Raw genomic sequence first — 17,574 nt, forward strand, 5'->3', positions numbered from 1 at the left:
TGGAGCTTAGGGAGCTTAGAGCCGCTGGAATGGTCCAGGAGACGTGCTGGTGGCCTGGCGCAGGTTGAGGGGGGCAGGAGGAGGTGGGGAGGTGTAGCCAACTCTGGATGTGTGTGCGTGTTAATTGAAATTTTCTTTTGAGAACATTGTAGATTCACATTCGGTTACAAGAAATAACATGGAGAGGCCGGACGCGGTGGCTCACGCCTGTAATCCCAACACTTTGGGAGGCTGAGGCGGGAGGATCGCTTGAACCCAGGATTTCGAGACCAGCCTGGGCAACATAGGGAGACCCCCATCTCAAAAGAAAAGAATTAGTTGGGCATAGTAGCATATGTCTGGGGTTCCAGGCATTTGGGAAGCTGAGGTAGGACGATTGCTTGGGCCTGGGAGGTTGAGGCTGCAGTGAGCTGTGATTGCACCACTGCACTATAGCCTGGGCGACAGAGTGAGATCCTGCCTGGAAAAAGAACACAGAGAGATCCCTTTCTGTGCCCAGTTGTCCCCAGTGGTAACATGCTTCAAAACCATAGCACAATATCCCAACCAGGATAGCAACATGAATCTGACCTGCTGATCCCATGCAGAGCTCCCCAGTCCGACTTGGACTCATTTGCATATGGCATAAGTCCTGTAGGTTTGTACCCATTCCATACAATTTACTTCTATCAGCCAAGACACTGAGCAGGGTCCCGCCAGGTCCCCTGTGCTGTCCTTTATAACCACCCTAACCCTTCCTGTCCTCCAACTCCCTGCCCAACCCCTGGCTACCACTCATCTGCCCTCCATTTTTAAGATTTTGCCATTTCAAAAATGTTCTATAAATGGAACGGTGCAGTCTGTGACCCTTTGGGATTGGCTGTTTTCACTCACATACTTCCCTGGAGATTTGTCCAAGTTGCTACATGAATTAAGAGTCTGGGCCGGGCGTGGTGGCTCACGCCTATAATCCCAGCACTTTGGGAGGCCCAGGAGGGTGGGTCACCTGAGGTCAGGAGTTCAAGACCAGCCTGGCCAACATGGCGAAACCCCGTCTCTACTAAAAATACAAAAATTAGCCAGGTGTGAAGGCACACACCTGCAATCCCAGCTACTCAGGAGGCTGAGGCAAGAGAATTGCTTGAACCTGTGGCGGAGGTTGCAGTGAGCCAAGATCATGCCACTGTCCTTGAGCCTGGCGACATAGCGAGACTCCATCTCAAAAAAATAAATAAAAGAAAAAGACAAAGAGTGTGTCACTTGAGCCCAGGAGGTTGAGGCTGCAGTGAGCCGTGATCGTGCCACTGCACTTCAGCCTGGGTGACAGAGCAAGACCCGGTCTCTGGAAAAAAAAAAAAAAAAGTCTGGATACGTTTGCAGGCAGAGCCAACAGGATTTGCTGGGGTGGTCAAGCAGCAGTTAGAGATTTGAGCGTGGAGTTCAGCACTGGAGGCATCCAGTATTGTGTCTCCATGAGGCCAAATGAAGTCACCTGGGAGCGGGAGGCCCAGAGGTGGGAGGTCTGAGTTCACATGGATTAGGCGTCTCCTGTGCGGCAGATGCTGTCCTGGGCCAAGAGTTCAGCAGCGAATGGGGCAGACGAGTTCCCTGCGTGGTGAGGGGCTGACCAGCTGCAGCATCGGTGTGGGCATGGACTAGGAAGCAGGCTCGGGATCTCATTCCCTTATCGTTTCTCTCTTTGCAGCTGTGGAGGGCTCCAGGGCCTGCACCGTGTGGAGCCCACAGTGTGGGCCTGGGGTGGAGGGGCTGGACCAGAGCTTTGCAGGAGCTGTGAGTGAAATGACAAGGGTGCGGTGTTTCCCTGAAGGCGAGATGGCCTCCGTCCAGCACGGACGGCCTGTCTTCTGAGATGTCCTTTATACATTTAGAATATCATAGCTTTCACAGAGGGATGGGGTTGGCAGGTGAGGGGGGTGCAGTTGTTTTGTGTGTCCATGCCAGGGGCAGGTGACCTGCCTTGCTTGGGCGCAGAGAGTCCTGGAACCCTTGGAGCGACTACCCCAGCTCCCTTTCCCATCTCCCCCCGCTCCAGCCCCTTTCCCCAGCCTGGCCGCTCATCCCTGCTTCCCTCCCCCTATGTGGCTGCTTCATGTTTGCATCAGGGCCACTAGGCTGTTCCTTCATATTTTCTTTTCTTTTTCTTTCTTTCTTTCTTTTCTTTCTTCTTCTTCTCCTTTTTTTTTTTTTTTTTTTTTTTTAGATACGGGTTCTTGCTCTGTTGCCCAGACTGGAGTGGAGTGACATAATCATGGCTCACTGCAGCCTCCACCTCCTAGACTCAAACGATCCTCCTGCCTCAGCCTCCCACATAGCTGGGCCCACAGGCACATGCCACCATGCTTGGCTAATTTATTTTATTTTTTATTTTTACTAGACACAGGAGTCTTGCTGTGTTGCCCGGCTGGATTCTTGAATTCCTGAGCTTAAGCTATCCTCCCGCCTTGGCCTCTCTCTCTCTTTTTGCCTCATTCTTTCCTCCTTATCCCTCTAGTTTTCCTTCTCTCTTCCCCACTTCCCCTCATTTTCCCCTCCTTTCCATCTGTTTCCGCTCTCTGGATTCTGCCCTCTTGTTTTTGGCACTTGCTCTCTTTTACGTTTTTCTCAAGCCGCCTTTTGTTTCCCTTTGTGTCTCCTCCTGTCTCATGATGTTCATCTCTGTTTCCACTGTGCTGTCTCCGTCTCTCCCTCTTTTCCTTTCTCTCCCTCTTAAAAATTATTCCCCAGACCTTGAAAACCATCCATCCCTTTTCACTCTCAGGGGCCTGGATGGAAGAAAATGTCTTCATCAGGCAAGGACAGTGCAGGAGAGGGGTCGCAGGTGCATGTGCAGGCCCGGCAGTGCTGCCGGGGAGAAGGACGGGCCTGGGCTGAGATGCACGGGCACAGCCAGACCTCCAAGGACACCTCATGTCTGAGGAAAGGGGGAGTTTGAGAAGAGGCTGCCAGGGCTCCCTGGAGGCCTGGAATGGGGGAGAAGGGGCACAGGGGACAGTCCAGGCCTTGTCTCTGAAGCAGGTCCTTCAGCTGCACTTGGGCTGTGCTTCTCTGTAGGGAGGGGGCATAGCTCTAGGGAAGGAATTTCTCCAGGCCTGGCAGGGGCCTGGAGGAGGCATCTGAGCACCTGCTGGTTCCAGGCTGCCTCTCGTTTTGCACTCAGGGCTTTTTTTGTTTGTTTGTTTGTTTTTGAGGCAGAGTCTCACTCTGTCACCCAGGCTAGAATGCAGTGGCACAATCTCAGCTCACTGCAACTTCTACCTCCCGGGTTCTTGTGCCTCAGCCTCCTGAGTAGCTAGAATTATAGGCGCATGCCACCATTCCAGGCTAATTTTTGTATTTTTAGTAGAGATGGAGTTTTACCATGTTGGCCAGGCTGGTCTCGAACTCCTGAGCTCAAGTGATCTGCCCGCCTTGCCTCCCAAAGTGCTGGGATTACAGGCATGAGCCACCATGCCTGGCGAGGGCTTGTTTTTTGAATGGATAACAGCTGCCTGCATCAGGAACTGGGCTCCTTAGAGTAGTATTTGTGCAACCTGACAACATGGTAGGTCAGGTTTTCTTCCCAGAGCTAACTGGTGCTTTTTTTTTTTTTTTTTTTTTTTTTTTGAGACGGAGTCTCACTCTGTCACCCAGGCTGGAGTACAGTGGTGCAGTCTTGGCTCACTACAACCTCTGCCTCCAGGGTTCAAGCAATTCTCCTGCCTCAGCCTCCCCAGTAGCTGGGATTACAGGTGCGTGCCACTATGCCTGGCTATTTTTTGTATTTTTAATAGAGATGGGGTTTCGCCATGTTGGCCAGGCTGGTCTTGAACTCCTGACCTCAAGCGATACGCCTGTCTCGGCCTCCTAAAGTGCTGGAATTATATTCATGAGACATCACACCCGGCCTAGTTGGTGCTATTTTCAATACTTTTTTGTGGAGCCAACCACCTTCCAGGCCGGCCAACAAAACCTTCAAGGATTCTATTGATAATTCAGCATCAAAGTGAGAAATGTATGACTCTGATGTGACAGCAGTTGGTGGCCGGACTGTAGCCAGCTGTTGGTATGGGATAAGGGGACGGATCTGGAGGTTGGACACTGACTGCAGGCGTCTGGGCCTAAAGCTGCCTCCCTTGGGGAGGTGGATCTCAGTGTGATGGGGGACCCCTGAACCCAGCGAGGCCACTGGGCACAGCTGTTGGTTTGTTGCCCTGGGCTACGAAGGACTCTTCCATTTGCTGCTCTGTCCTGCAAGTGGGTCAATCCCAGCTCCAGCCAAATCCATCTGCTCATGTGCCCCCCCAAATTCTACCACCGTTGCCACCCCTGGCCTTTGCCCCATGGTGTTTTCTCAGCCAGGAGCGCCAGCACCATGCTGTCCCTTGTTCCGTGCCCAGGGCTCATCTGTGGCGCCTTCCTCGAGTCATCCTTTTGACTGATAGCACAGGATGAAGAACACCATCCTGAGGGCACACAGATCTCAGGTGACAGTTTGAAATGCCAAGGCAGGGCCCCTTTGTCAAACTTACTAAGAACTTCAAGACAGGGATAGCAGAGCGGTAGCCCACGCCCGGGGCCTGATTGCATGGGTTTGCACACTCCAGAGGCCGGCCTGGTCTGTTGTACAAGCATCACGCCGGGGAGTGAGTTCCTAAACCCCACTGAGTCTTAGTTTCCATGGCTATAAAATGGGATCACCATTCATATCCCTGCAGAGGATTGTTGTGTGTGATCATCAAGATAGAGTAAGGGGGAGCTGCTATTGTCCTTACTATTGATCATGATTGATTTTTTTTTTTTTTTTTTTGACAGAGTCTCTCTTTGTCACCCAGGCTGGAGTGCAGTGGTGTGATCTCAGCTCACTCTAACCTCCACCTCCCAGGTCCAAGAGATTCTCCTGCCTCAGCCTCCTGGGTAGCTGGGACTACAGGTGCACGCCACCATACCTGGCTAAATTTTTTTTGTATTTTTAGTAGAGACAGGGTTTCGCCATGTTGGCCAGGCTGATCTCTAACTCCTGACCTCAGGTGATCTGCCCGCCTCGGCCTCTCAAAGTAGCATTATTGATACCATTTAACAGCAATTGTTGTCTGTGTTATTCCCCCGGCACTTTGCATCTGCCGCCTTCTGTGTGCTTTATTTATATTTAAATGACTTTTTGGCTGGGCGCAGTGGCTCATGCCTGTAATTCCAGCACTTTGGGAGGCCGAGGCAAGCAGATTACTTGAGGTCAGGAGTTTGAGACCAGCCTAGCCAACATGGTGAAACCCCGTCTCTACTAAAAATATAAAACTAGCCAGGCATGGTGGCGCATGCCTGTAATCCCAGCTACTCTGGAGGCTGAGGCAGCAGAATTACTTGAACCCTGGAGGCGGAGGTTGCAGTGAGCCGAGATCGCACCACTGCACTCCAGCCTGGGCGACAGAGCAAGACTCTATCTCAAAATAAATAAATAAATAAAAATAAAGATATACTTGTGTGTCTATGGTGATGAGACACTTACAGTCAGTGGCCATGTGACAGGAGCAAAGCCCAGGCGCCTTGGTGCTCAAGTAGGATGACTCCGGCACAAACCATCAATTGAAGGAGGGAGTCAGGACTCTAGGACAGAGGGATGGGGAGGGGCAGGAGGAAAGAGGGGACTTGGCCCATGGACAGCAGAGTTTGTTGGCCAAGTTTGGAGGGACCAGACTCGATCAGGAGCTGGTGCCCCATGGAGCCCTGGTTTTGGAGGGTGCCGTGACACCGACTCCCCCCACCTGCTGTCCCTGTGTGTGAGCTTGGATTTAGTAGCCAGCAGCTTGGCAAGACTTCTGGGGCCACTCCTCTGCTGGTTTCCATGTTAACGCTTTTCCTCCAGCTAAAAGCAGAATCTGTGGGAATCCAGGAACCTTCCAGAGCTGCCCCCTAGGGTCAGCATCACCTTAACAAGATTGCACCAGCTTGTCCCTGCTGCTGGCTCGCCCTGGACACCGGCTGCCAGCTCCAGCAGCCCCAAGCCCTGTGCTTCTGTCACTAGGGCCTCGGCAGCCTCCCATGTCCACCAGCTGCTGTGGTCACTGGGCCGGCAGAGGCTGGGGTCAGGGCTGGGCTGGACTGGGCAGGAGGATTCAGATGGGAAGGGGCCGGTGCCCACACAAGCTCTGCAAGGCTGTCCAGCCCAACCCCAAGGGCAGGACTGGACACGCAGGGGCTGCCCACAGAGAAATGGGAGGGGTTCTGCTCACAGCTGTCAGAGTGTTCTGGAAGACTCAGGGCCCTGGAGCAGACACAAACATTGCAGGCAGGACAGGCTGAGGTACAGAAAGCCCGGAGCCAGGACATAGCAGGGCACCCAGGACCTAGGGGACAGGACCTGGGGGCCGGCGGTAGTGGGGGCTGCCACCAAGAGCTCAGAAGAGCCCAGTTGAGTCTCTCCTCAGCCTTTGACCAGCTGGGACCCTGGGCACGTGGCCTAGCCCTGTTCTCTCCAAGCCCGCTTTCTCATCTGTACAGTGGGCATCATCACAGGTCCTCACTCACGGCTCTTGTAAGCACTGGAGGAGACAGCAGGGGAGGGACAGCAGCCACCGGCCGTGGTGGGGGCCCCAGGTCAGTAGTCCCTTACTTGTAGGGCTCAGGGTAAGCAGAGGCCTCTCCACTGGCATCCTCTTCAGCCTTACGGAGCCTTGGCCTGGTGGTGTGAGCCTGGAGCCACTGCCAGCTTGGATGCCCATAGGGCTTCACAGGTCCTGCAGGCCAGGCGGGGACAGTGACAAACCAGACAGCGCATGTCGTGGCTGATGGGGCAGCTCACTGCACCCTGCAGGAATGTGGGCCTGCGGTGGCCAGATAGCTCAGTTTTTCTAGAGAAATAGGCACTCAATGTTTATTTGAACATCCCAGTTCTTCACTGTTGGCAATGAACTCATTTTTAAATTTGTCTGCAAGCCGGATGCTGACCAAAGGTGACCCGTTTGTGCTCTCTGAGTGGGCCAGATCAGGCAACCCCTGAGGGTCCTGAGGTTGGAGGGCAGATGCTGAAGGGACATCCTGGTTCCTGACTGAGAGCTCACCCCCAGCCCCACACAGCTCCGGGGGTGCCTGTGTGCTGGGACAGTGCAGATGCTGGAGCTGGGCAGGCCTGGGGTCAAACCCTAGCTCTGCCAATTCCCAGCTGAGTGGTTATGGCCAAGTGACTCGCTGAGCCTCAGTTTCCCCTTTTGCAAAGTGAGATGGAGGTTCCCTGCCTCTCTCAGCCGCTGTGAGGATGAATGCTCTGTGACCTTTCAGGTCCCATCGCGGGCCGGGCACTCTGTAAATGCTCCGTTCTCGGTCACTGAGGTTGAATTAAGAGAGGCTGGGGCTTGGTTTATGGAGTGAGACTGATCTGTTTCTTCTGTTGACTTTAAAAAAAAAATTATAGAATTAGAGCGAAGTTGCTATGATAGTACAGAGACTCTCTTTGTACTCCTTGGCCAGCTTCTTCTGTTGTTAACATTTTACTGTGTGCATTGTCACAGCTAAGGAACCAACACTGACACATTATGAACTCAAGTCCACAGTTGCTTCTGTTTCCCTAAAGTCTTTTTCTGTTCCGGGATCCCATACTACATTCAGTCATCATGTCTCCCCAGCCTCCTCTGGCCTATGACAGTTTCTCAGACCTGCCTGTTTTGTTTTGGTTTGGTTTGGTGTTTTTGGTCTTGGGCTTTTGTTGTTGTTGTTGTGTTTGAGAGAGGGTCTCGTTCTGTTGCCCAGGCTGGAGTGCAGTGGCAAGATCATGGCTCACTGCAGCCTTGACCTCCAGAGCTCAAGCAATCCTCCCACCTCAGCCTCTCAAGTACCTAGGACTACAGGTGCATGCCACCATGCCCAGCTAATTTTTTTGGGTTTTGGGTTTTGTCTGTAGAGATGGGGTCTCCCTGTGTTGCCCAGGCTGGTCTTGAAACCCTGCACTCAAGGGATCCTCCTGCCTTGGCCTCCCAAGGTGCTGGGATTGGCCAGGCATGGTGGCTCACTCCTGTAACCCCAGCACTTTGGGAGGCCAAGGTGGGCAGATCACTTGAGGTCAGGAGTTCGAGATCAGCCTAGTCAACATGGTGAAACCCTGTCTCTACTAAAAATACAAAAATTAGCCAGGTGTGGTGGCGCACGCGTGTAATCCCAGCTACTGGGGAAACTGAGGCATGAGAATCATTTGAACCCGGGAGGCAGAGGTTGCAGCAAGCCAAGATCATGCCACTGCACCCCAGCCTGGATGACAGAGAGAGACTCCATCTCAAAAACAAACAAACAAAAACACCCACACAAAGTGATGGGATTACAGGCATGAGCCACCACGCCCAGCCTCAGACTTTCCTTGTTTTTGATGACCTTGACAGTTTTGAGAATATCGGGTAGGTATTTTGAACAATACCCTTTAATTAGGGCCTATCTGATGTTTTTCTCATGCTTAGACCAGGGCTGTGGGTTTGGGGGAGGAAGACCGCAGAGGTAAGGCGCCCTTCACATCATAGCAAGGATACTCAACATGGCTCAGCACTGATGCTGCTGGACGTGGGTCACCTGGCCGAAGTGACGTTTGCCAGGTTTCTCCACTGTGCAGTTTCTTTCCCCACTTTCCATACCCTGCTCTTTGAAAGCAGGTCACTAAGTGCAGCCCTACTCAAGAGAGGAGGGGCAGATGCAGACAAACAATTTGGAATTGTTTTGGAACGATTTTGAGATTTGTATCTTCTCCTTGTCTGCTTGCTTTTGCATCTAGCAGTTGTCAATTCTTGGGTGATCCTTTCTTTCTTTCTTTTTTTGAGTCAGAGTCTTGCTCTATTGCCCAGCCTATAGTGCAGTGGCACAATCACGGCTCACTGCAGCCTCGACCTCCAGGGCTCAAGCGATCCTCTCACCTCGGCCTCCTGAGTAGCTGGGACTACAGGTGTGTGCCACCATGACCAGCTAATGTTTTTGTTTTTATAGAGATGGGGGTCTCGTTCTATTGCCTAGGCTGGCCTTGAACTCTTGGACTCAAGCAGTCCTCCCACCTTGGCCTCCCAAAGGCTAGGATTACAGGCTGCCATGCTCAGCCTGATCCTTTCATTTCATTATCTAAATAACCCGGGCTTGAGTCCTAGCTCAGCACATTTACTCTCTGTGTGACCTGGGTGACTCACTATTAACAGAGGGATCATGAGAACAAGAGGATGTATACAACAGGCTGCACCTGGTGCTTTGAGCAAATAGGTTGGTGTTTTTTCCTACTTGTGACAAGAAGTACTAAGGTGGCCCGTTGAGCTGACAGGGCGTCTCAAGGAAGTAGTCAGGGACCCAGGCTTCTCCTGGCTGCTATTCTGCCATCCGTAGCATGTGGATTTTGTCTTCCTGGTCCCAAGGTAGCTGCAGCACCTCTAGCCTCACTGCCATGCTCCAGGCAGGACTCAGCGAAGCTGATGGCGTTATCCCCGTTTTGTAGAGGAAGAAAGTGAGGCAGAGGAGGATGAGAAACCCTGCCTTAAAGAGTGCTGTGAGGTTAGAAGTAGTGTCACCTGGTGTGTAGTAGGCATGGTTGTTTTCACAGTAGGATGGGCCTCTCTCAAGCTCCCTGGCACTGGGGGTGCCCAGTGCCCTGGGGGATGAAGGTGGGCCTCTAGCAGCAGGCACCTGAGCTCCTCCACTTGGCCGGCCTGAGGCTTCAGGCTCAGAGGGGCTGGCCCAGGCTCTGGTGGGGCTGTGGGTGGCTGGGGCAGACCCTGGACAACCTTGGATCCCAGCCTGTGAGTACAGGTACAGTGTGTCCACCCCCCCTTTTGGGGTGGAGGATGCTGGGCCCAGCAGCCCTGTTGACCTGTGCCTCTTGCCTGTTCTGGGCAAGCCAGGACTGGCTGGGGCTGCAGTGGTCACCCAAGAACAGCCAACCACATAAAAGTCAGGCCCAAGGACAGTCACTGAGGTGGGCCTGGCCTTGCAACTGGGTAGCCATGTCTGATGACCTACTATTCAGTGCTCACTTGGAAGGGAGATATAGGGAAGGGTTTGTTGTTCCTGTTCTATTTGGGAGAACAGATTGAATTCAGAGGCAAACTATGGTCTAGGGATCAAATCTGGCCTGGCACTGCTTTTTTTTTTTTTTTTTTTTTTTTGAGATGGAGCCTCGCTCTGTTGCCCAGGCTGGAGTGCAGTGGCGTGATCTCAGCTCGCTGCAACTTCTGCCTCCTAGGTTCAAGCAATTCTCCTGCCTCAGCCTCCCAAGTAGCTGGGATTACAGGCACCCGCCACCACACCCAGCTAATTTTTGTATTTTTAGTAGAGATGGAATTTCACCATGTTGGCCAGGCTGGTCTCGAACTCCTGACCTCAGGTGATCTGCCTGCCTCAGCTTCCCGAAGTGCTGGGATTACAGGCATGAGCCATCACACCCAGCCTGCCATTGCTTTTCTAATAAAGTTTTATTGGCACACAGCCATGCCTTCTGTTTACATATCTATGGCTGGATTTATACTACCTGGGCAGAGTTGAGTGGTTGTGACAGAGACTGTGTGGTTTGCAAAGCCTAAAATATTTACTATCTAGCTCTTTACAGAAAACATTTTGCTGACCCTGACCCAAAAACCAGGCAGGGTCAGGGATGTGCGATTAGGGCTTCCCGAGAGGGAGATGCGGGTGGGCCCAGACTGGCGAGGGGCTGCGGCGGGTTTGTAGAAACAGGGCAGCACAGGGCAAACGGAGGCCCTGAGGTGGTGGGCTTGGCTTTAGAGCAGAGCTTGTTCTGACTGGGGGGCTTCAGAGGAGAGGCTGTGAACCCAGCCGGGGCCTGAGGCTTCACCCTGTCACGTGCTGTGACAGCCATTTGGGGTCTTTGTGAGAAACGGAGCTGCTGGGTGTTGCGGATTGCCGGGGCCAACTCTGAGGCTTCGGCCAGACGCAGCAGGTTACAGGAACCGTGGGGATCTCAGGCTGGGGCTCCTCAGCTCAGCCACCCTCAGCCATGAGGGACTGTGGGCCCGGAGTTGCCCAATGGTCTGATTTTCCAAGAGAAACCGGCAGTCTGCTTTTCACGGGAAATCTGATTTTTACATGTTTGCAGTTAATTCCATTTTTACAAAATCACAAAGCCGACCCAGCACACATGCATTTGGCCTGTGCCCTGCAGGTCTGGGAACTCAGGTGCGCAGGGTGGACGCAGGGAGCTGCGGGGGTGTGGGGAGACTCTGAAAGCAGCCAGGCCCTGCGCCCCAGCACTCCCTGTGGCAGAGGCGGGCCTTGGGCTGGGGGTGGGCTGCGGAGGAGCTCACAGCCGTGTCAGGTTTCTGTGTCTTGACCTATCCTATCCCAGAGCAGAGAACATTCCTGCCTGCGGCCCGGGAGGAGGGGGTGGGGAGCTGGATTCCAAAGGGTTGGACGCACCTCCTGGACCCCAGCGGGGACTCATTCCCAGCCGGAGGGCGAGAGGTGGGACGTGGAGAGCTCTGAAGTCTTCTCTGAGATTTTCAAAGGTGAAAACCCCAGGGTTTGAGTTTGCTGCTCCATCCTCAAGGAGCCCTAGAGGGCGATGGGCAAGGGCTGGTCTTGGAGCTGGACAGGCCGAGGGGACCCCAGCTCCAGTGCTCCCTCCCTCCCGGGACCCCTGAGACATAGCGACTCCTCCCTTGCAGGCTGCCATGATAGTCCAAGAGAGAACGGGTGTGAAAGTGGTTTCCATGGCATGCGGGTGTGCCGGTGAGGGGGTCTGCCTCTGGGAAATGGTCCTGTCCACCCGCCAGGGCGTCTGCAGCCGGACAGCCCTGCGGGCATCTGGTTGTTTTCAGCCTCACACACCAGCCCTTACCTGCTGATTCAGGCGGCTGGTTTCAAAGCACTTGCTGCCACCCCTGGGGGTTTATTATCTATTTCAGGCAGGACTCTTAGTTACAAGCAACCCTGGTCAGTGTGGCTTAAAGAAAGAAGAGAATTTTGAGGCTCATGAACAGGAAAAGCCCCAGGGTAACTCCAGCCTTCAGCAAAATAGGGTTCACGCGCTCCAAGTGATATTGGCAGGACTCTGTCTTGCCGCGTCTTCTAACTCTGCATCCTTCTGTGCGGGGTTCATTCTCAGGCGGGCCCCTGGTGGGGTGGCAGGAGTGGCCTGTCACCTGAACTCCCAGGAACCTCTGGGGAGAGCATCCCTGTCCCAGTAGCAAGAATCGCAGTGGCCCTGTCACATGCTTACTCCTGGACTGATCTCTGTGGGTGGAGGGTGAGCTGCTCACATGGGCTAGGCCTGCTCTTGGCCCCAGCCTGAGCTGTGGGGGAGGTGGGGAGCTGCTCGGATGGGGAGTTGGGCACAAGGGGATCCCTTAGAAAAATCAAGATGCAGCCGGGCATGGTGGCTCACGCCTGTAATCCCAACACTTTGGGAGGCCGAGGCAGACAGATCACTTGAGGTCAGGAGTTCAAGACCAGCCTGGCCAACACGGTGAAACCCTATCTCTACAAAAATACAAAAAAATTAGCTGGTTGTGGTGGTGGGCGCCTTTAGTAATCCCAGCTACTCAGGAGGCTGAGGCAGGAGACTCGCTTGAACCCGGAAGGCAGAGGCTTCGGTGAGCCAAGATTGCACCATTGCATTCCAGCCTGGGCAACAGAGCGAGACTCTGTCTCAAAAAAAAAAAAAAAAAAAAAGAGGGGCCGGGCATGGTGGCTCACGCCTGTAATTCCAGCACTTTGGGAGGCTGAGGTGGGTGGATCACGAGGTCAGGAGATTGAGACCATCCTGGCTAACACAGTGAAACCCCATCTCTACTAAAAATACAAAAAAATTAGCTGGACGTGGTGGCGGGTGCCTGTAGTCTCAGCTACTCTGGAGGCTGAGGCAGGAGAATGGCGTGAACCCAGGAGGCAGAGCTTGCAGTTAGCCAAGATCACGCCACTGCACTCCAGCCTGGGCGACAGAGCGAGACTCCATCTCAAAAAAGGAACAAAAAAAAAAAAAGAAAAAAATCAAGATGCTAGCACCCCAAGGGGAAATGGACAGACAGGCGGAAACAGCGCCCACCCATGCCCACCACTCTCCAAGACTGTGTTTTGGTCTGAAGAGGAAACACCTGAGCTTCCTGGCTCATGCCCCTCTGCCCCTGCCTGGCTGACTTCAGCCCAGTTCTCCAAAGAGCTGTGGGTTACTCACCCACGTGTCTCCAGCGTGTCCTCCAAGGTGTCAGGCTTGGGCCTGAGTGGATGTGGAGCGGCACCAGCCTCTGCAGCCTTCTGTCTGGTCTTCCAGGCCAGTGGCCCTCCTGAAAAAGGAAAGCATGCTTGTTCTCCTTGGAGCCCCTGGGGGCTCCTAGTGATTGACTTCCTTTCTGAGTGCACGGGAAGCAGCTGTTCAATAATCCATTGTGACGTTTGGCCAGACACCGACAGAGCTTGTCTCCCTGCGACCCCCTTGTCCAAATGCAGGGATGACCTTTCCCCTCTGTGACCAGGAAGGATGCAATTGTTGGGGGTTTCTTACATTAGTTCTCTCCAGGCCTAAAGACGCCATCACATCTAGAGCTGCCGGCGGCCTCTCGCCACTCCCTCTCCTTGGCTTCTTCATAATGATATTGATTTTTCCTCCATTTTTAGAATCCATCTCCTTGAGGGAGGAGACAGAAACTCCATCCCTCTGCACAGAACCATTTCAAAAAGGAACAGGGGGTTGGGATGAGGCCCAGCTGGCCTAGGAGAGGCCGCCTGGCTGGGCCGAACACTGGCTCTGGCCTGGCCTGGTCACTGACCCTTGCCTGGGTCCTCAGGACCAGGAGAAGAAGGGCCGTGTCTTTTCAGATCACAGAACACTCTTTGGCCCCTAGTCATGTGTCAGGATGAGAGGGGCGGTCTTTGAACTCCCATGATTCACTTGAATGTTGCATTTTCTAGATATCATGACAGCCAGATCTCAGGCCATCATTAAAAAGAAAGAAGGTGAAATTCCACACCTGTGGGTTACCCACCAGCGGCAGCCCTCTGGCTGGAGATGTATCTTGTGGCTCAGCTCCTGTTTGTGTTCTGATTGCAGTGCCATCAGGGGGACGTGTGTCCACTGACCCACAGAGGCAGGGGCAGCTGGGGAACGTGCTAGGAGAGGAGGGGCAGGCAGGAATAGACCTTGTCTCCCGAGTCATCCCCTGAGCAGGCTGAGCCAAGAGTGGCTGACTGAGGATTGGCTGGGCACAACGTTCCATTCGCCGTGTTTGAGGTTCACCCTTGGCCAGGTGCGTCACTTGTCCTGGTTTTCCAGATGTGAAGGTGGTGACGCAGGCTGGTATGAGATCCCTAGATGTCAGAGCATGTTTTAGCTTATTTAAGATCCTTTGATGGTTCCCTTCTGCAACAGGCTCGGTGTGATGTGGTGGTAAGTCAAGGCCCTGGAGCCCAGACGTGATTACCTGGCCACTCTCACTTTTGGGGGACACATGAAACAGCCTCCTGCTGTCTCCACTGTCGCCCCTAGAGTGTATTCTCTCTCCTGCTCTTCCTGAAGTGCAGACCTCATCACACACACAGCCTCCTGCTTACGAGCTGCAAAGGCCCTCAGTGCTCATGGGATCAAGGTCATAGCTTGGCTTGCAAGATCCCAGGTGGACCCCAGCCCTTTGTCTGGCTTCCTCCCTGTCTACGCGCTGATCCCCGCAGCCCCCACACTCCACCCACTCAGCACAGGCTGTTCCCTCGGCCTGGAACACCGGCCCTTGGTACCTCTATACCCCTGTTCTCCTGACTCCTGGCCAGTTGCTGCTGAGGCTGTGAAGGTCCTACACGGCTCAGCACCCGGAAACTCCCCCAACCCTCTAGGATGAGCTGAGGCCCCATCTGGGTTCCCCAGGCCTTTGTGCCTGTCCTGCCATCAGCCCGCATCATAGGGTGGCATTGTTTCTCCTGGTTCATTTGTGTCCCCACTAAGTGCCATGCCCCATGAGGGCTGGGATGGTTGTCTTGTTCACAGCTGTGTCCTCAGTGCACAGGACAGGGCTGGCCTGGTGCACTGTGAGTTGCCGGCTGGTGGACAGATGCTTGGAGGATGTGTGACTTGGGGCAGGGCAACTCCTGAGTCTTGATCTCCCCCTCTGCACTGGGGTCATGGTGTCAAGTGCAGGGGGAGGGGAGGGAAGGGGAGCAGGCAGCATGGGGAGGGGCCTGCAGAGGTGTCTGGCAGTGGGGAAGCTGTCATTGGCCATAGTCTGGAGCCCACATCCCTGTACTGACACGCAGCTTTCAGCTGTAGCCAGAACTGGGTCTCAGCCAGAGTGGGCAGAGGTGGCCAGGAGACGAGACAGTGCAGGGAGCTGGGGGACAGGGTTAGGGGGTGGTGAGAAGGTCCCCTCCCTCTGTCCTCCTTGACCATGCATCCTTGCTCATCTCCACCGGCTCCAACCAGGAGCAGTAGCCCGGGAGCCCTCTCCTTCTTCTGGTGCAGGCCGTGGTCCTTACAACCTGGACTCTGCATGAGAATCACCTGGGAGCTGTGAAATGTCCCACACCCAGGCCACGCCCCCGAGTAGAGACATCTGACCCCCTGGCGTGGGCCCCGGGCATCAGTAGTTCATAAAACTCCCAGGAGATTCCAGCGCATGGCCAGGTTTGACAGCCGTCATTCCAGGTGGTTCTTGGTGACCTGGTTTTTCCTGGAGATGCTCAGCAGCCTGCAGGAGCCCGCCAGCCAGCGCACAGTGAGCGGCTCGATGGGAAATCTCCCCTTCTCCGCCTCCCTCCACAAAAATCCTCACCAGAAACGAGGAAGCACTTCTTAAAATGGTTTTGTTTTTTGAAAGAGTAGCACATGCCTATGGCAGGAACTCCAGGCAGCACAGATGGGTACACAGTGGAAGAAAAATCAGTCCTGGCCGGGCGCGGTGGCTCACGCCTGTCATCCTAGCACTTTGGGAGGCCGAGGCGGGCGAGTCACCGGAGGCCAGGAATTTGAGACTAGCCTGACCAACATGGCAAAACCTCATCTCTACTAAAAAAAAAAAAAAAAAAAAGAAAAAAAATTAGCCGGGCGTGGTGGTGCACGCCTATAATCCCGGTTAACTCAGGAGACTGAGGCAGGAGAATTGCTTGAACCCAGGAGGTGAATGTTGCAGTGAGCCAAGATGGCACCACTGTACTCCAGGCTGGGTGACAGAGCGAGACTCCGTCTCAAAAGAAAAAAAAAAATCAGTCATGCCACCAACCACAGCCACTGTACCCAGGCTCTGAGATGGCCCTGCAGAGCTGTCACGTGTCGGTATAGGTCCCTTTGTCACATGTCTACCCTTCTCACCTTGCTTTCTTAGTCCTCCTCTGCCAGAACATATTGATCTGCCTGGCTTTTTCTTTTTTCTTCCCCGAGACATTGTCTCACTCTGTTTTCTAGGTGGAGTGCAGTGGCACAATCCCAGCTCGCTGCAACCTCCGCCTCCCGGGTTCAAGTGATTCTCCTGCCTCCGCCTCCCAAGTAGCTGGGATTACAGGTGCGCGCTACCATGCCCGGCTAATTTCTGTATTTTTAGTAGAGACAGGCTTTGACTGTGTTGGCCAGGCTGGCCTCAAACTCTTGACCTCAAGTGATCCGCCTGCCTTGGCCTCCCAAAGTGCTGGGATTACAGTCATGAGCCACTGCGCCTGGGCTGCCTGGCTCTTCTTGATGCCTACAGAGTATTCCATTGTGGAGAGGGCCTGACATGGATGCCTTGGTCCCTTTGGGTGGCCGGCTTTGGCTGTCACAGGCAGTGCTGTCAGAGGAGCTCAGAGTCTTTGGTCATATGTGTGAGTCCTGCAGGATGAACTTGTAGACCGGGAATTCCTGGGTCATGGAACAAGTGGATCCAAATCGCTGATAGAGCTTCATTTCTTGTCATTCCAGAAGTCACCTGCACCGGTGCCCGTGACGTACGAGCTGCCCACACTGTATAGGACGGAGGACTATTTTCCTGTGGACGCCGGGGAAGCACAGCACCACCCCCGCACCTGCCCTCGGCCTTTGTGAGCTTTGTGGTCTTCCCATCAGGAACGCTGGAAAGTGACATTGTGTACACACTGCAGCTTGGGGGTTTTTTCTTTGTATTGCTGTTTATTTTATATTTTAAAAATATTTAAAAAAATGTCGAGATGGGGTCTCACTATGTTGTCCAGACTGATCTCAAACTCCTGGGCTCAAGTGATCCACCCACCTTGGCCTTCCAAAGTGGTGGGATTATGGGCAGGAGCCTCCGTGCCCAGGCTGCTGCCATTTTCAAATTTCCTCCCTGCCTCATGTGAGACCACAGGGTTTGGAGAAGCAGTTGGAACCCACGTGTGGTGATGCCTCCCACATCGGCCTGCTTGGGGTTCTACAGGGGTTGAGGGACCAGGCCTGGCCGGGGCTGATGGACAGTGGGGACTTTCCTTCTCTCCATGATGGCTTTGCAGGGGCTCCATGGTCCTTCTCTCTGTGATGGGTTTTTGCACGGGGTGTGCTCTGCCACTGTGGTGGGTGGGTGGATGCTGCTTCTGTTGCCTCCAGACCTCGGTGCCCACAGCCTTGAGGATCCTTCCAATAAAGGTGTCAAGAGCTCAGCCCTGGTCTGGTGTGAGAATGACGGGGAGTGATAGTTTCCTTTTCACCTGTGCAGTGTTTTCTAGAAG

General features: G+C 54.0%; 1 protein-coding gene and 1 long non-coding RNA gene across 9 annotated transcripts in view, besides 8 other annotated features; one reads left to right on the top strand and one right to left on the bottom strand.

The window, feature by feature from the left end:
* BCAS4 (breast carcinoma amplified sequence 4) overlaps window positions 1-17,574 on the top strand; it is an 87,783-nt gene that overhangs the window by 64,779 nt on the left and 5,430 nt on the right. For 3 of the 5 annotated variants that reach the window (XM_011528886.3, NM_001010974.2, NM_198799.4), the window contains one exon: window positions 16,814-17,505. Coding sequence is in view for 4 of the 5 variants with exons in the window: in NM_001010974.2 (NP_001010974.1) it covers window positions 16,814-16,936 (123 nt within the window). In the remaining variant the exon portion in view is untranslated. Of the gene's footprint in view, window positions 1-16,324; window positions 16,422-16,813; window positions 17,506-17,574 lie in introns of those variants that run through there. The other 2 variants (NM_017843.4, XM_011528887.3) reach the window with 2 other exon arrangements.
* Window positions 1,174-1,695: an enhancer, noted in NCBI's record as "H3K4me1 hESC enhancer chr20:49477383-49477904 (GRCh37/hg19 assembly coordinates)". NCBI's record gives its function as "activates a minimal SCP1, AML or CMV promoter by ChIP-STARR-seq in naive and primed H9 embryonic stem cells {active_cell/tissue: H9 hESC(naive and primed)}" and the evidence as "EXISTENCE:reporter gene assay evidence [ECO:0000049][PMID:30033119]".
* Window positions 2,879-3,471: an enhancer, noted in NCBI's record as "H3K27ac-H3K4me1 hESC enhancer chr20:49479088-49479680 (GRCh37/hg19 assembly coordinates)". NCBI's record gives its function as "activates a minimal SCP1, AML or CMV promoter by ChIP-STARR-seq in naive H9 embryonic stem cells {active_cell/tissue: H9 hESC(naive)}" and the evidence as "EXISTENCE:reporter gene assay evidence [ECO:0000049][PMID:30033119]".
* Window positions 3,823-4,569: an enhancer, noted in NCBI's record as "H3K4me1 hESC enhancer chr20:49480032-49480778 (GRCh37/hg19 assembly coordinates)". NCBI's record gives its function as "activates a minimal SCP1, AML or CMV promoter by ChIP-STARR-seq in primed H9 embryonic stem cells {active_cell/tissue: H9 hESC(primed)}" and the evidence as "EXISTENCE:reporter gene assay evidence [ECO:0000049][PMID:30033119]".
* Window positions 6,820-16,339, bottom strand: LOC124904929 (uncharacterized). 4 transcript variants are annotated; one of them, XR_007067648.1, is made up of 3 exons: window positions 14,668-14,695; window positions 13,115-14,244; window positions 10,382-12,174 (listed from the first exon to the last, which is right to left on the bottom strand). It is a non-coding gene; the product is annotated as an uncharacterized LOC124904929 (long non-coding RNA). The 4 variants fall into 4 exon arrangements; XR_007067647.1 differs by lacking the exon at window positions 10,382-12,174 and adding an exon at window positions 6,820-7,364 and having other exon boundaries at window positions 13,115-16,339; XR_007067646.1 differs by having other exon boundaries at window positions 10,382-12,054; window positions 13,115-16,339.
* Window positions 10,235-10,948: an enhancer, noted in NCBI's record as "H3K27ac-H3K4me1 hESC enhancer chr20:49486444-49487157 (GRCh37/hg19 assembly coordinates)". NCBI's record gives its function as "activates a minimal SCP1, AML or CMV promoter by ChIP-STARR-seq in naive H9 embryonic stem cells {active_cell/tissue: H9 hESC(naive)}" and the evidence as "EXISTENCE:reporter gene assay evidence [ECO:0000049][PMID:30033119]".
* Window positions 10,949-11,661: an enhancer, noted in NCBI's record as "H3K27ac-H3K4me1 hESC enhancer chr20:49487158-49487870 (GRCh37/hg19 assembly coordinates)". NCBI's record gives its function as "activates a minimal SCP1, AML or CMV promoter by ChIP-STARR-seq in naive H9 embryonic stem cells {active_cell/tissue: H9 hESC(naive)}" and the evidence as "EXISTENCE:reporter gene assay evidence [ECO:0000049][PMID:30033119]".
* Window positions 12,376-13,088: an enhancer, noted in NCBI's record as "H3K27ac-H3K4me1 hESC enhancer chr20:49488585-49489297 (GRCh37/hg19 assembly coordinates)". NCBI's record gives its function as "activates a minimal SCP1, AML or CMV promoter by ChIP-STARR-seq in naive H9 embryonic stem cells {active_cell/tissue: H9 hESC(naive)}" and the evidence as "EXISTENCE:reporter gene assay evidence [ECO:0000049][PMID:30033119]".
* Window positions 15,230-15,941: an enhancer, noted in NCBI's record as "H3K4me1 hESC enhancer chr20:49491439-49492150 (GRCh37/hg19 assembly coordinates)". NCBI's record gives its function as "activates a minimal SCP1, AML or CMV promoter by ChIP-STARR-seq in primed H9 embryonic stem cells {active_cell/tissue: H9 hESC(primed)}" and the evidence as "EXISTENCE:reporter gene assay evidence [ECO:0000049][PMID:30033119]".
* Window positions 16,469-17,049: an enhancer, noted in NCBI's record as "H3K4me1 hESC enhancer chr20:49492678-49493258 (GRCh37/hg19 assembly coordinates)". NCBI's record gives its function as "activates a minimal SCP1, AML or CMV promoter by ChIP-STARR-seq in primed H9 embryonic stem cells {active_cell/tissue: H9 hESC(primed)}" and the evidence as "EXISTENCE:reporter gene assay evidence [ECO:0000049][PMID:30033119]".

The sequence above is a fragment of the Homo sapiens genome, chromosome 20 (genome assembly GCF_000001405.40).
Source record: "Homo sapiens chromosome 20, GRCh38.p14 Primary Assembly".
NCBI lineage: Eukaryota > Metazoa > Chordata > Mammalia > Primates > Hominidae > Homo > Homo sapiens.